The sequence below is a fragment of the Homo sapiens genome, chromosome 12, assembly GCF_000001405.40.
Source record: "Homo sapiens chromosome 12, GRCh38.p14 Primary Assembly".
Classification (NCBI taxonomy): domain Eukaryota; kingdom Metazoa; phylum Chordata; class Mammalia; order Primates; family Hominidae; genus Homo; species Homo sapiens.
Window position 1 is genome coordinate 53,566,083 of NC_000012.12, and position 12,451 is coordinate 53,578,533.

The 12,451-nt window shown below is 42.8% G+C and overlaps 2 protein-coding genes, 1 long non-coding RNA gene and 1 pseudogene across 15 annotated transcripts in view, besides 3 other annotated features; 2 read left to right on the top strand and 2 right to left on the bottom strand.

Annotated features, from left to right (window-relative positions):
- Positions 1-12,451, bottom strand: part of ATF7-NPFF (ATF7-NPFF readthrough) — a 119,695-nt gene that overhangs the window by 59,395 nt on the left and 47,849 nt on the right. The gene's annotated exons all lie outside the window — the stretch shown is intronic.
- ATF7 (activating transcription factor 7) overlaps positions 1-12,451 on the bottom strand; it is a 118,527-nt gene that overhangs the window by 58,227 nt on the left and 47,849 nt on the right. The window lies entirely within an intron of this gene.
- Positions 1-12,451, top strand: part of LOC124902937 (uncharacterized) — a 50,712-nt gene that overhangs the window by 30,717 nt on the left and 7,544 nt on the right. The window lies entirely within an intron of this gene.
- Positions 2,974-3,543: an enhancer, noted in NCBI's record as "OCT4-NANOG hESC enhancer chr12:53962840-53963409 (GRCh37/hg19 assembly coordinates)". NCBI's record gives its function as "activates a minimal SCP1, AML or CMV promoter by ChIP-STARR-seq in naive H9 embryonic stem cells {active_cell/tissue: H9 hESC(naive)}" and the evidence as "EXISTENCE:reporter gene assay evidence [ECO:0000049][PMID:30033119]".
- LOC100419830 (zinc finger protein 337 pseudogene) lies at positions 8,504-10,024 on the top strand (annotated as a pseudogene).
- Positions 11,472-11,551: a silencer, noted in NCBI's record as "silent region_4516". NCBI's record gives its function as "represses an Ori minimal core promoter by ATAC-STARR-seq in GM12878 lymphoblastoid cells {active_cell/tissue: GM12878}" and the evidence as "EXISTENCE:reporter gene assay evidence [ECO:0000049][PMID:35858748]".
- Positions 12,052-12,241: an enhancer, noted in NCBI's record as "active region_6424". NCBI's record gives its function as "activates an Ori minimal core promoter by ATAC-STARR-seq in GM12878 lymphoblastoid cells {active_cell/tissue: GM12878}" and the evidence as "EXISTENCE:reporter gene assay evidence [ECO:0000049][PMID:35858748]".

Genomic DNA, 12,451 nt, shown 5'->3' on the forward strand with positions numbered 1-12,451 from the left:
CAGCATGGGAAAAACCTGCCCCTCATGATTCAATTACTTCCCATTAGGTCCCTCCCACAATACATGGGGATTATTACAATTCAAGGTGAGATTTAGGAGAGGATACAGCCAAAGTATATCAGCTATAAACTATAAACTATCAGTCCTGAGAAGACTGTTGTCAATTAATGCCTTGTATAACTGGATTGCTCAGGAGAAGGGAGAGTAAGGCAGTGAAAGGGAAGGGGCAATAGGTTTGAGGAAGACATTATTGGTTTCTTAACCCAACCCCCATTTTTCAACCATTTTCTCTTGCTTGCCTCACTATAAAGGCTGAAAAGCAAGATATTCCTTTTTCCTATGCAGCTGGTATTAAACCTGTCACACAGTTCAGGCCAATAAGACAATGAAATCCACCGTGGTGGGGGTGGAGGATGGCACTTCTGATGTAAGGCTTTTGTCTCCTTATAAAAGGGAAAGCCAGAACAAGAGAGTTCCTGATGCTACCTGCCCCTTATTTCTTTCCCATCCTCTGATAGTGAGGCAACAGGAATGAGGATTAAAAGGTAAAAGCTAAAAATGGTACAGCAGAGAGAAAGAACCTAGGTCCTTGATAAACTTGCTTAGCTGCTGAAACAGTCCTAATTCTGGACACCTTGTGTTATAAATGTTGACACAGTTTTTTTTTGTTTTTGTTTTTGCTTTGTTTTGAGATGCAGTCTTGCTCTCTTGCCCAGGCTGCAGTGCAATGGCATGATCTTGGCTCACTGCAACCTCTGCCTCCCGGGTTCAAGCAATTCTCCTGCCTCAGCCTCCTGAGTAGCTGGGATTACAGACACACGCCACCATGCCCAGCTAATTTTTGTATTTTTAGTACAGATGGGGTTTCACCATCTTGGTCAGGCTAGTCTCGAACTCCTGACCTTGTGATCCGCCCGCCTCTGCCTCCCTAAGTGCTGGGATTACAGGCGTGAGCCATTGCGCCCAGCCTGTGTTCACACAGTTTTAAGCTACTGTTAGGTATTTGCATCTGAAACCATTCCTAACCAATATACGATTTTCAATATGTATAGATTCTACTTCATTTTCTATCTAAGGAACTTAGAAATGGAATATACAAGAAATTATTTTATTCTACATCTTCATGAATATTTATCAGTTGTATCCTAATGCTGAATTCTGTTTTCTTTTTCACATAATATACCAAATAAATTCCATCTCATCACCACCTATTGCCTCAAGCTTCCTTAGAAACAATGGCTATACACTGGGCTTTTAGGAAGAACAAGATGGTAAGAGAGTGGCACCTTACAATGCTGCTTTGGAAACTGGGGCAGTTAAAGATCACTCCTCACTAAAGAATGGAGTTTTAGACTGGAGCAGCATGTTTTCTTATTTCTCGCTGCCCCTCTTCCTCAATACCCAGTGTTTGGCTTTTTATCAAACTCCAGGGCACTCTTGGGAACTACGCTTAAGAATTAACAAGGATAGATCCATTATCTTTCCTTAGATGGCAGCTACTTACTTGGATGGGTTAAATGCTCAACAAACTTTAAAGGACCAGTGCCTAGGAGGCAGAGAAATCCCAGCAGCAATTCAGCCAGGCCTGGTCCTATGTCAGTTACATGGCTAATTGCTTTCTCCACAGCTCTTGCCTAATGGTAGACCTTTTAGTATTCTCCTATCCAGATGTAGCCACTTAGCTGGGGTACCATTAAAGTCCCCAAAGGGATAACTGTAGTTCTTAACAAAGCAAGAAAAGGTTATTTTAAAATCAAAATAATTATCACACAGCCCTATTAAGTTCTTGTTGACATTATACATTTCTATTTTTCAATCTCATCTCTCTCCCCAAATTCTTATTAGGATGTTATGAGGTACAAAATCCTTGAAAAACGTATCAAATACTTTTATCTTCTAATTTGCTACACATTAAGTGTTACAATTTCTGGATCTCACAAATGGGTGGGAAGGACAAAGTTACAGAGTGAAAAGTATGAACCTACTACATTGTGGTTTGGCTTGAGCTGCTGAAAATTTCACTGTGGAAAAACTATACTGTAAATACTTCCTGATAATACAGGAGTTTTAAAATTTTGAATGCTTACAATGCATTCAGAGTAGAGCACATACAAGTCAGTACTGAGACCACAATAACAAAAACCCTGCCCTGATCTTTAAGGCCTTATGCAGTTTAGTACTGTAACAGTCAAGCCAAAAGAAAATATATAACTGGAAGGTGAGGAGGGGGAGAGAACCAATGAGCGTGCTCACATGCACTCGTCTCTAAAACCGTCTCTAAACTTGGTTCAAGTTTACAAGGAGATTACGCACACACACTCTCTCTCTCTCTTTCTCTCTCTCTCCTTCCCTCACTTTAAAATAATACCAAAATACAGTATTAAGCTTTTGTTTTAAACAAGCTATCAAAGCTTACAGGCCCAGGGACTCGGAAACCACAGAAGAGGTTGCAGCCTGGTAAAGAAATAGGCAACGATAAAGGCTCAAATAGTTTGGCAGGTCTTCTATATAAACCATAAACTGGTCAAGTGCTCTAATTCTGCCCTGCTATCTTAATTTAATGCAGCAAAAAATTCTTACCATAATTTGTTGACATATTCATCTGATTATCTTTGTGTCTAACCAGGAAAGCTCTGATAAGCTATCTTTAGTTTTACAAAGTCAGGCAAATGGAAAACTTCAATTTTGGATGTTTACTTTCTAACCATAAGTGATATTTTTTAGAATGCTGGCCACAGACTAGAGGTCTACACTCAAAGAAGGCAGGCAGGCAGGTAGGGGCAAAGAATGAAATTGCAGCTAAGCACTGTGGCTCATGCTGGTAATCCCAGCTACTTGGGAGGCTGAGGCAGGAGGATCACCTGAGGAATTTGAGACAAGCCTGGGCAATATATATTGAAATCCTGTCTCTTAAAAAATTTAAAGAGTAGCCAGGCATGGTGGCACATGCCTGTAGTCCCAGCTACTTGGGAGGCTGAGAAAGAGAGAGAGAGAAAGGAGGTTCCCTTGAGCCCAGGTGTTTGAAGCTGCAGTAAGCTATGATTGTGCCACTGCACTCCGGCCTGGGCGACAGAGGAGGGCTCCATGTCTCTTAAAAAAAATAAAAAATAAAAAAGGAATCTACACTGCCTATCAGTAACACTTATCCACATACTTCTAGACAGTCATAGTGATCCAACACAGAAGAACAGCAGCAGCTGGGGAAATTGTCTTGTTCCTGTCTCATCTCCTGCTGCTCTCCATCACAGTACTAAACTACTTGCATTTTTTCTAAACACATCATGCTGTTTCATTCTCTTGCATCTGCTATTCTCTTATATGTGGAATGTTCTTCTCTACTTTCTCTGGGAAACTTCTATTTACCTTTCAAAACCTGTTAAAGCATCATTTCCTCCAGGAAGCCTTCTCTGATGTTTACCAGAATTCTCAGTACTTGCAAATATTTACATTATTATATTTATCATATTAGAATGTAATTACATTTTCATGTGTCTGACTCCCCTATAAGGCAGTGAATACTTTCATGTCTTATACATCTCTCTGTCACTAGTACCTAGCATGGTGTTTGGCACATTGTAGATGTTCAAATTTTTTTTTAATTTTTTTTTTTGAGATGGAGTCTCGCTCTGTCGCCCAGGCTGGAGTGCAGTGGTGCAATCTCAGCTTACTGCAACCTACCTCCGCCTCCCTCGTTCAAAGGATTCTCCTGCCTCAGCCTCCTCAGTAGCTAGGACCACAAGCATGTGCCACCATGCCCGGCTAACTTTTGTATTTTTGGTAGAGACGGGGTTTCACCATATTGGCCAGGCTGGTCTGGAACTCCTGACCTTGTGATCTGCCTGCCTTGGCCTCCCAAAGTGCAGGGATTACAGGTGTGAGCCACCGCGCCTGGCCATTCAAATATTTTTTATTGAGCTGAACCCACAGAGGCTTATGAAGGTCTGATTGAATTGAGAAAATTATTCATGGACTGATTTCTGGAAACCTGACCTCAGGCTTCCTCAAGGTTAGAGATACCAGGCAGATACATAAAGAATAAAATCAAATGCCTTGATCTTATTTTTACAAAGGATTTGTGTGCACTAAGTCTCTCACCAGAGACATTTGGGAAAACCCATGTTCAATTTTTGATTACGGTCTAAAATGATAACAAATTGTTCCAATTATATAGAACCTGCCACTCCATTATATCATAATGTAGACAAACCAGGAAGTGCTAATGGGATCCTATTAACCTTCATATCACATTACAACAGCCTAGGGGAAGAGAGGAGAGAAAGGAAAATACAAAGGCCATTAAAAATACTGATGGGTGTCAGGCAGGGGCTAAGAGGTTGGAACTTCCAGTCCTCACCTCTAGGTAACAACTCACTACAGTATAGCAAATGCAGATTTCAACCATAGTATAGTAGGCCGGTAATGCCTCCAGTATAGACCTGTCCTGCCAAAATACAACATACCAGGTGGCTTAAACAGAACTTTATTATCTCTCAGTTCTGGAGGCCAGAGGTGTTACCAGGGTTGGTTTCTTCTGAAGGATGTCAGCAAGAATGTGTTTCATGTCTCTCCTAGCTTCTGGCTTGCTGGCAGTCTTTGGCATTCCTTGACTTGTGGCAGCATAAATCCAACCTTCACATAGTGTTCTCCTGTGTGCGTGTGTGTGTGTGTGTGTGTGTGTGTGTGTGTGTGTGTGTATGTCCAATTTCCTCTTTTTATAGGACACCAGTCATATTGGAGTAGGGGCCCACCTTACTTCAGTATGACCTCATATTAACTAATGCCATCTGCAATGACCCTGTTTCCAAATAAGGTCACATTTTAAGGTACCTGGGGTTAAGACTTCACCATAAAAATTCAATTCAATCCATAACAGCTCACAAAGATATATCAATGTTCTAATTCTTAGAAGCTGTGAATGTTACCTTATATGGTGATTAAATTAAGGGCTTTGAGATGAGGGGATTATCCAGATGGGCCCTCAATGCTATCACAAGCGTCCTTCTAAGACAGCAGCAAAGGGAGATTAGAAACACACAGAGAGGAGAGGGCAATGTGAAGAAAGACATAGAGATTGAAGTGATGTAACCACAAGCCAAGAAATGCCGGCAGCAACTAGAAGCTGGAAGAGGCAAGGAAAGGATTCTCCTGGAGAGCCTTCTCAGGAGGATACGGTCCTCTTTAATATCTTGGTGGGCTTTTGGTCTCCCAAACTGTGAGATAATAAATTTCTTTTCTTTCAAGCCACCTAGTTTGTGGTAATTTGTTATAACGCCTACAGGAAACTAATATACATATTATCTTTTCATAATTTAAACATAATTATCTCCATTCTAAGAGCAGCAGAGGAGCAGGCAGATAACAGACAATAGGTGACAAACTCCAAGCAATTATACCCATAACCACAAACCACTGTAACCAGCATTTTTTTAAAAGGGAAAGCCAGGCACAGTGGTGTGCACCTGTAGTCCCAGCTACTCAGAAGACTGAGAAGGGAGGATCATTTGAGCCCACAAGTTTGAGTCCAGCCTGGGCAACACAGTGAGACTCCATCTCTTTAAAAAAAAAAAAAAAGGGAGCAGGGAGACAAATCCGCACTGAAATATCACCACCACAACAAAAGAAACTACAGAGTACATCACACTAGATAAGGGTGAATACTATTACATGGCTCTCTAATTTCTATTATATAAAAAATGTGTTTTGGTTGGGCACGGTGGCTCACGCCTGTAATCCCAGCACTTTGGGAGGCTGAGGCAGCCAGATCACCTGAAGTCAGGAGTTAAAAACCAGCCTGGCCAACATGGCGAAACCCGGTCTCTACTAAACATACAAAAATTAGCTGGGTGTGGTGGCGCACACCTGTAATCACAGACACTCGGCAGGCCGAGGCAGGAGAATCGCTTGAACCTGAGAGACGGAGGTTGCAGTGAGCCGAGACAGTGCCACTGCACTCCAGCCTGGGATACAGAGCCAGACTCCATCTCAAAAAAAAAAAAGAAAAAGTGTTTTAAGTTGCAATGTAAAATGTATTTCTTACTCGATTCATAAACCAAAAGGACTGAGACTTCTGGTTTTTGGCTTGGCATATAAAGAGCTTAGAATAACAGTTGTCACTCTATCCTAACAACAAATAAAAAGCTGAACTGAAAAATCTTAACAACTCTTCATAGATCTATCAGAGAAGTGAGTTCACAGGGCAAACTGCTGTTCCCCAAATTGGCAGATATAGAGAATCACAACCTAAAGGAGCAGAAACCCATGAGCTGAAACCTGCATGACAATCAAGTGCCAGGGGAGGAAAACCTGAACTATAATTGATGAAGCTAGAGGCCAAGTGTGGACAAGTCTGAGAGTTAAAAATGCCAGGGAGACCCAGTCACAGAGGAGCCCCCACACCGTTGTGAGATTTACCTCCAGGTTCTCCCAGCTCTACTAGGTTCTTACGGTGAATATCAGGGGAAATTTCTTGTGCTTTTGGCGGGGGGAAAGGGAAAAGTACAGTAGCCTCCCCTTACCCGTGGTTTCACTTTCCATGGTTTCAGTTACCCATAGTCAACTGCAGTTCAAAAATAGATGAGTACTGGTCGAGTAAGGTGGCTCACACCTATAATTCCAGCATTTTGGGAGGCTGACGTGGGAGGACCGCTTGAGCCCAGGAGTTCGAGACTAGCCTGGGTGATAGAGTGAGACCCTGCCTCTATTTAATTTTTTTTTTTTTTTTGAGAGAGAATCTCACTCTGTCACCCAGGCTGGAGTGCAGTGGCACAATCTCAGCTCACTGCAACCTCCGCCTCCTGGGTTCAAGCAATTCTTGTGCCTCAGCCTCCTGAGTAGCTGGGATTAAAGGTGTGCACCACCACACCCAGCTAATTTTGTGTTTTTAGTAGAGACGGGGTTTCACCATGTTGGCCAGGCTGGTCTCGAACTCTTGGCCTCAAGTGATCTGCCCGCCTCGGCCTCCCAAAGTGTTGAGATTACAGGCGTGAGCCACTGTACCCGGCCAAAAAAAAAAAAAAAAGATGAGTACAGTACAATAAGATATTTTGAGAGAGAGAACACATTTATATAACTTTTATTACAGTATATTTTTATAACTGTTCTATTTTATTATTAGTTGTTAATCTCTTACTGTGCTGAATTTATAAATTAAACTTTTTCATAGGTATGTACATATAGGGAAACATAGTATGGTCATCCCTCCATATCCATGGGGGACTGGTTTCAAGACCCATGAGGATACCAAAATCCACAGATACTCAAGTCCCTGATATAAAATGGTGTAGTATTTGCATATAAAATGTGCATATCCTCCTATATACTTTAAATCATCTCTAGATTATTATAATACCTAATACAATGCCTACATATCACTTCATTCGTGTGGATTCAATGTAGTGCTTGGCAGGCAGCAAATTTAAGTTTTGCCTTTTTGAATTCTGCGGAATTTTTTTTTTCTGAGTATTTTTTACCTATGATTGTTTTAATCCATGGATGAGAAACCCATGGATACAGAGGGCTGACTGTATATAGGGTTTGGTACTATCTGGTTTCATGCCTCCACTGGGAATCTTGGAATGTATCCTTGTGAATAAGGGGGGACTACTGGAACCATTTTGAAATACCCCAGAGCATTCTGTTCTTCTTTACAAGGCCTGCCCTCAGGAGAAAATACTTTACCAGAGCCTAACCTGCTGCGGTTTTATCATAGACTAACTAACCTGGGAGAAGGGTAATACCCAATTCTACCCCCGTCTAGCCATCCTGTCCCATCCAAGTGGGGAAAAGAAAACAAAACTGAGAAGCACTGGTGAAGTTTATAGTCCAGGGCATAGGCTCACCAAAATATTGAGACCTAATCATACGACAGTAGAACACTTCCAGTTCCCCTCCCTGTCATACCTCATCACAACTTTACTAGGGACGTATTTACCAATTCCTTTTACCCAGTATATCATGTCCACCTTTCAACAGAAAATTGTAAGTCATATTAAAAGGCAAAAATACACTCTGAAGAAACTGAATAAGCACCAGAACCAGTGAGATATGACAGAACTGTCAGAATTAACAGTCCAGGAATTCCAAAACACTATGATTAACACAACAACATGTAAGAACAGATGGATAATATAAGAAGAGAGATGAAAATTCTAAGAAAGAATAAAAAAGAGAAACTTTTAGGCTCCTGAACACATGGAGGTGCAGGAGTGTGACAGGCCCAGGAAGGGCATGGAAGCATTGCACCCCTTCCCACCAATGCATCTCCTTATCTGGTTTTCATCCGTATCCTTCATAATATCCTTTATAATAAACTGGTAAACATCAGCTTTCCACAGGCTTTCTTTCTCCATGGTGAGCAGGACAATGTCCTAGGACCCCAGAGAGCCAGGAGAGAGCAAGATCAAAGCCAGAAATCCAACTCTGTCCCTACTGCCCACTGGTCTTTTCCAGTCAACACTTCCTCAGCAAATACATGCCACATAGCCGTGCTGCTCAGAGGTCTCCTGGCTTATATGCAGAAAAGGCCCTGTGGCCCAGGATCACAGTAGCAACAATATTCTCATCAAAGCAGCCAGAGTGATACAGCAGAAGGTCAAGAGACAGAAAAAAGCACTAAATCCTGGTTTATAAGAGACAGGCAGACTTCAAGGGTTGTCTCCTAAGACAATAAGTAAGCTCAAGGGGAAGCTTATAACCAGTAAGCTTCAGTGGTGAAAAAAGAGCCTAGCCAGGCCCAAATGGGAAATCCTAAAGAAATAGACATATATTAAAAGAAATAGTAAATTCAAGATGGGGAGCATTCAAGTGTGCAGAGGGTGAGCAAGACTTTAGTCAGAAAATAAAGTTACTCTTTCTTGCCATTGAGCTTAAGCCAAAAAAAAAAAAAAATTAAAGAAAAGAAAGCTACTTGGCTGGGCGTGGTGGCTCATGCCTGTAATCCCAGCACTTTGGGAGGCCGAGGCGGGTGGATAACCTGAGGTCAGGAGTTCAACACCAGCCTGACCAACATGGTGAAACCCCATCTCTACTAAAAATACAAAAACTAGGCTGGGTGTGGTGGCTCATGCCTGTAATCCCAGCACTTTGGGAGGCCGAGGCAGGCGGATCACCTGAGGTTGAGAGTTCGAGACCAGCCTGACCAACATGGAGAAACCCTGTCTCTACTAAAAATACAAAATTAGTAGGGTGTGGTGGTGCACGCCTGTAATCCCAGCTGCTGGGGAGGCTGAGGCAGGAGAATCGCTTGAACCCAGGAGGCGGAGGCTGCGGTGAGCCGAGATTGTGCCATTGCACTCCAGCCTGGGCAACAAGAGCAAAACTCTGTCTTAAAAAAAAAAAAAAAAAAAATTAGCTGGTTTGGTGGTACACGCCTGTAATCCCAGCTACTCAGGAGGCCAAGGCAGAAGAATCACTTGAACCTGTGAGGTGGAGGTTGCAGTGAGCCAAGATGGCACCACTGCACTCCAGCCTGGGCAACAGCGAGATGCAGTCTCCAAAAAAAAAAAAAAAATCTACTCATACACAAAAAAGCACACTCCAAGCATTAGTTTTTCATATGCAGGGAGTGATGAGTCAGCATTACTCTTGCACCAGAATATACATGCAGGAGGGAAGTCCTATGTGTGCAATAAGTGAGGGCGGGGCTTTAGAAATAAGTCACACTTCACATACCAGAGGACACACTCAGGGAAGAAGGCTTTCTTGTGAAAGGAGTGTGGGTAAGACTTCTTATAGAAGGCAATTCTCACTGCATATCAGAAAACCCACTCAGGGAAGAAGTCTTTTGTATGCAAGGAGTGTAGGTAAGACTTTACCCAAAAGTCAACTGTGCATGAGAGAACACACTTGGCAGAGAAGCCTTATAGATGCCAGGAGTTGTGGACAAAGGATTAGGTATAAATCATCCTATGATAAACACTGGAAGGCACACTCAGGGGAGAAGGCTTTGTTGTGCAGGGAGTATGGGCAAGACTTCAGCTTGAAGACATCTCTTACCAGACACCAGAGGACACACCCAGGGAAGTAACTCTGCTTCTTTAAAAAGCTGTAGCCAAGACTGTGCAACTTGTTTATGGATATATCACGAAGGCAGAAGGGATCCAGAGGGCTAAAAGAACCTGAACTTGGCCCAAGTTATTCCCAGAGATTCTGAGAAAAGAGGCACTGAGAGCCTCACCAACCTCCTTAGACGGCACAGCAGTCTAGGACCCCTCCACCAAACCTTCCCTCCCTCTGTTCTTCCCTCTGGCAGCTCTCCCAACCTTCCTTAGTGCTATGGTTTGAACAATGTTGTCCCTTGCAAAATTCATGTTGAAACCTAATCACCAATGTAACATTATTAAGAGAATGTTTAGGATGTGGTTAAGTCATGAGGATGGAGCCTTCATGAATGGCATTAGGTACCCTTATAAAAGGATTTGGCAAAAGATTTGGCATCACTTTACCCTGTCCTCCAACTGCCATGTGAGGACACAGAGCTCCTCTCCTCTGGAGGATGCTATGTCAAGATACCATGTTGGAAGCAGAGAGCAGCCCTTGTGAGATAACCAAATCTGCTGGCACCTTGATCTTGAACTTCCTAGCTTCCACAACTGTGAGAAAATAAATTTCTGTTCTTTATAAAACAAACAAACAAACAAACAAACAAGAAACGCTACAGATAAAAAACACTGTAACAGAAATGAAGAATCCCGACCAGGCACGGTGGCTCATGACTGTAACCCCGGCATTTTGGGAGGCTGAGGTGGGTGAATCACTTGAGGTCAGGAGTTAAAGACCAGCCTGGCCAACATGGTGAAACCCCCGTCTCTACTAAAAATACAAAAGTTAGTCGGGCATGGTTGCGCAAGACTGTAGTCCCAACTACTCAGGAGGCTGAGGCATGAGAATTGCTTAAACCCAGGAGGTGGAGGTTGCAGGGACCTGAGATCGTGCCACTGCAATCCAGCCTGGGTGACCAAGAGAGAATCTGTCTCAAAAAACAAAAAAGAAATGAAGAATGCCTATGATGGGCTCAGTAGTAGACTGGACATAGCTGAGCAAAGAATCTTTGAACTTGAGCTGGGCATGGTTGCATGTGTCTGTAGTTCCGGCTACTTGGGAGGCTGAAATTGGAGGATGACTTGAGCCCACGAGTTTGAGACCAGCCTAGGCAACATAGTGACATAGTAAGACACTGTCTCTAAAAACAAAGAATCTCTGAACTTGAGGATATGACAATAGAAACTTCCAAAACTGGAAAGCTAAGAAAAGAAGAACTAAAAAAAAAATAACAACAACAAAATATCCAAGAACTGTGGGACAAATACAAAAGGTATAATATGTGCATAATAGGAGAAAGAAAGAAACACACACGGCCGGGCGCGGTGGCTCATTCCTGTAATCCCAGCACTTTGGGAGGCCGAGGCGGGTGGATCACGAGGTCAGGAGATCGAGACCATCTTGGCTAACACAGTGAAACCCCGTCTCTACTAAAAATAGAAAAAATTAGCTGGGCGCAGTGGCGGGCGCCTGTAATCCCAGCTACTCGGGAGGCTGAGGCAGAAGAATGGCGTGAACCCGGGAGGCGGAGCTTGCAGTGAGCCGAGATAGCGCCACTGCAGTCCGGCCTGGGAGAAAGAGCGAGACTCCGTCTCTGAAAAAAAAAAAAAAGAAAGAAAGAAAGAAAGAAAGAAACACACACAATATTTGGTATTGCTAAACAATAACTAAAGCGATAACTAAAAATGTCCCCCCAAATCAATGTCAGACACCACACCATAAGAACAATAAGCAGGCTAAATGACAAACAAACAAACAAACAAAAAACTACACCTAGATATATCATATCCAAACTTCAGAAAATCAAAGAGAAAGAGAAACATCTTGAAAGAAGGCAGAGGGAAAATCACCTTACCTACAGAGGAGCAAAAACAAGAATTACATCTAACCTCTCAGAAACCATGCAAGCAGAGAGTACAGTCAAAGAGAGAAAACCCTATCAGCCTAGAATTCTGTATCCTGCACAATTCTTCAGAAGAAAGGCCACATGTGGTGTGGCTCACGTCTATAATCCCAGCACGGCAGATGGATTGCTTGTGTCCAGGAGTTTGAGACTAGCCTGGGCAACACAGTGAGATCTCATCTCAATGAAAAATAAACAAAATTAGCCAAGTGTCCTGGCGTGTACCTATAGTCCTAGCTATTTGGGAGGCTGAGGTGGGAGGATCGCTTAAGCCCAGGAGGTTGAGGTGAGCTGAGATCACACCACTGCACTCTAGCCTGGGCAACACAGTGAGATCTTCTCTCAAAAAAAAAAAAAAAAAAAAGTGAAGGAAAAATAAAGACTTTCTCAAGCAAACCAAAATACGGAGAAATTGTTGCCCACAGACTTGCCTTGCCAGAAATCTTAAAAGAAGTTCTTTAGAGAGAAGGAAAATGAGCTAGGCACGGTGGCTCATGCCTGTAATCCCAA